The 3,318-nt window shown below is 34.1% G+C and overlaps 1 annotated feature.

The window, feature by feature from the left end:
* Positions 2,522 to 2,816: an enhancer, noted in NCBI's record as "tiled region #1703; HepG2 Activating non-DNase unmatched - State 24:Quies". NCBI's record gives its function as "activates a minimal TATA promoter and a strong SV40 promoter by Sharpr-MPRA in HepG2 cells {active_cell/tissue: HepG2}" and the evidence as "EXISTENCE:reporter gene assay evidence [ECO:0000049][PMID:27701403]".

Here is a 3,318-nt window from a genome sequence, read left to right on the forward strand (position 1 = left end):
TTGTGACTCATGCATAGGAAATATGACAAAGACCCAGTTCCTAGAAAGCAGAGTGTTAGTGGAAAGGAAAGGAGGAAAATGTGAGTAACAGAACTAAGGTAAAAGGTTGGAGTGGCAGGTCTGGTTGTTTGGTCATCAAGCTATGCAATAAATGATCTCCATACTTGCTTCTAGAATCTAACTCAGAGCTAAGCTACAAATCAGAGTTCTGTTACCCCACCTTTGAGAAATAGGAGAAGAAGCCACAGAAATTATTACCACAGCATCTAGTGCAACGCCATGTTTCCAGTTGATACTGGTGAACACTGGTAAAGAGAGAGTGTTATGATATTGGAGAATAAAAGCATGGATTAAGTATTAGGAAACCTGGATTCTAATATTGGCTATGTCAATAACTAGCTGGGCAGTCTTGGAGAGGTCACTTTTCCTCCCTGAACTTTAATTTTCTTCTCTATATGGTGAGGGATTTGGAATATATGGATCTCTCTTATTTCTTTCATGTTTAGTATTCTATGATAAGAAGACAAATCACTTGTATCTACTATTTTATTTAAGCCAGATATGCTGAGATGCATGACTGACTGTACCTGAGATCAGAACATGCTTACATAACCAAACCAAAACCTAGGTTTTTTTTCAGTTGACTGTATTTAGAAACATCATTAAAAACAGCATTCTTGTTTTGAGTTCTTTGGTCCTTCTCTCCACTTTTTTGGCCAATATTAAAATGATGTCACTGAATATTCACAGGGACATTCAAAATAAATTTTCCTTTTGTTTATTCTACAAATAAAGTGAACATTTCATACTTTTTAAAGTGATAATACTTGGCATAGGCCATATGTGTTTATGTTATTAGTGGGTAATTTTTAAGCTGTATTTTTCGATGTGTTTCACAAACTAATGAATATTTTATATTTACTCTGAATTTCATCCAAACTATTATGGTTGCATCTCCTATTAGATCTGAAGACTTGATTTAGAAATATTTCAAAGATGAAATATGTCTGGGCATTTTAATCTTCCTTGTGCAGGAAGGAAAGGTAATGGATCCACTCTTATTTTGTTTGATTATTTTCCTTTGTAGTATGTTAGTTTGGGAGATTTTCTGGACAACAATGTTCTTCTTGTTTGGCAAAATTACATCTATTGGACAACACTATTCATGCCTCAATTGACGTTGCCTCACAATTTATAGTGTTGTTTTTGATTATGAAATAAGGCTCCACTTGTAAAACTTGCAATTTCTTGACTCTGGGTGCCAAGGAAATAATAAGAAAGGCTCATACCCCTACACACACCTTGGTTTCTCCTAAATCATTTTATTCCTTTTTTGCAGAGAATCCAGGCATCTCACAGCTATTTTTCCTATTCCATTTTTAAGTCACCTTCATTAAGAAGGCAACATTTGAGTTTTACATTGAAACATGTATTTTTGTTAAAACGCATCAGCACAATAATTCTTTGACTTTCAGTTTTTATAAAATGGAAGGAACTAAGTGAATTAAATGAAGCTATAAGAATCAAGTCCTTATTTCATTTTGGCAATTAAGGAATGATTTTTCAAAGTAAGTAGTATGGAATCCAAGGATTTTGAGCAAAAAAAATTAAACGTATTCTAACACAGTTTACAAATACTAATATTTCCATTATAGGTTTTCTCAAAGACCCTTTGAAAATGTATTTAACTGTTATACTAATGGGTTAACTCACATAGTTTTTGCTGTTATACTTCCCTATACAGAAAAAGTTATAATCTGTCATGTATCCTATAACTATCTGAGTATATGCGGCAAGCAACAAAAATATCAACTGTAGACCAAAAATTGTGTGAGGTTCTTTTGAGTAGGTTACATGTGAAGAAAGAATAATGGAACTATAAGGTAAACATACATGAAACAGCTAGAGAACAACAAATCATGTGCTACTAAATTGAAATATAGTATTAATTGAACCCTATACTAAAATTCATGCTGTGAAAACGTAGTTGTTTAATTCACAGATACTTTAAATACAGATAAGAGTTTTAGAGCAAACACAACTGACTTGTTGCACATGGAAACCAAAAATGGTCATATGCCTTGGTAAAGCAACAGGAAAGTGTCAAGTGTTCATGACAGCAAGCCACAATTAGAAAATAACTATACTTAAAGGAAAATCAGCTCATCTGGTTTATTTAGAAAATTTGAATTATCTTGGTCTCTCCAAAACAACGCATGATGCTGTCTCAAGACACTTTTTCTAGACTAGGAGAAGAAGACATCAATGATTTCATTGATATTATTACATTAAAAATCTAGGGGAACTTTTCGTTCGACAGGAAATACAAAATAGCTTTAGCTCCTCAATAAAAATGAAATAGCTTATTAAGGCACCAGTGTGTGGGGTGGTTATTTCAGTTTAAATAGGTAACATGCTCATAGTAACACTCCTGCTAATTGGTTCAATCCACAAGAAGCAGTTAGATCCCAAAATCTGCCAGTTTTTTAGACAACACAGGCTTTTAAAATTAGCAGAGATATAAGTTAAGGTGACTCAGGGCACCTTCTTAGCATCAAGTGATCCCAGTTGTATTTCTATTGTAAATGGCAGAGTTGACACTACTGCCACCCAGCTGCCCCCAGAGGAATGAGTGGTCGCAGTGAGTGAAGGCAGCTCTGAAAAAACATGTAAAATGTGACGTTTATCTGTTGACTATTTAGAAATGACTTAACACCCCTGGGGCACATCCGCCTCTGATTCACTCTCATTGTCTGTCACTGTTCTCAAAAGAGGCAATAGCAAGCATGAAAGATCTTTATTATAAAACACCTTCGCCCCATGCTGAGGTCACATTCCAATGACCATGGGTCTATGGATAATGAAACATGCTTTACATAACCTAGGACAGTAGCTTTAACATTTTCCTTTTTTAACTTTGGACCATGATAAAAAACAATAATAAATAGATTTTACATAGAAAATCTATATACACACACATAACAAGAAAAACATATTTTAATGAAAATACCCTTCTATATTAATTTTAAAATGGTTTTTTTTTAGTTCTGTGAAGAATGTCAATGATAATTTAATGAGAATAGTATTGAATCTATAAATTGCTTCGGGCAGTATGGCCATTTTAACAACATTGATTCTTCCTATCCATGAGCATAGACTGTTTTTCCATTAGTTTGCTTCATCTCTGATTTATTTGAGCAGTGTTTTGTAGTCCTCCTTATAGAGATTTTTCACCTCCCTGCCTAGCTGTATTCCTAGGCATTTTATCTTTTTGTGGCAATTGTGAATGGGATTGTGTTCCTGATTTGGCTCTTGGCT

Source organism: Homo sapiens, chromosome X, assembly GCF_000001405.40.
Source record: "Homo sapiens chromosome X, GRCh38.p14 Primary Assembly".
Taxonomy (NCBI): Eukaryota; Metazoa; Chordata; class Mammalia; order Primates; family Hominidae; genus Homo; species Homo sapiens.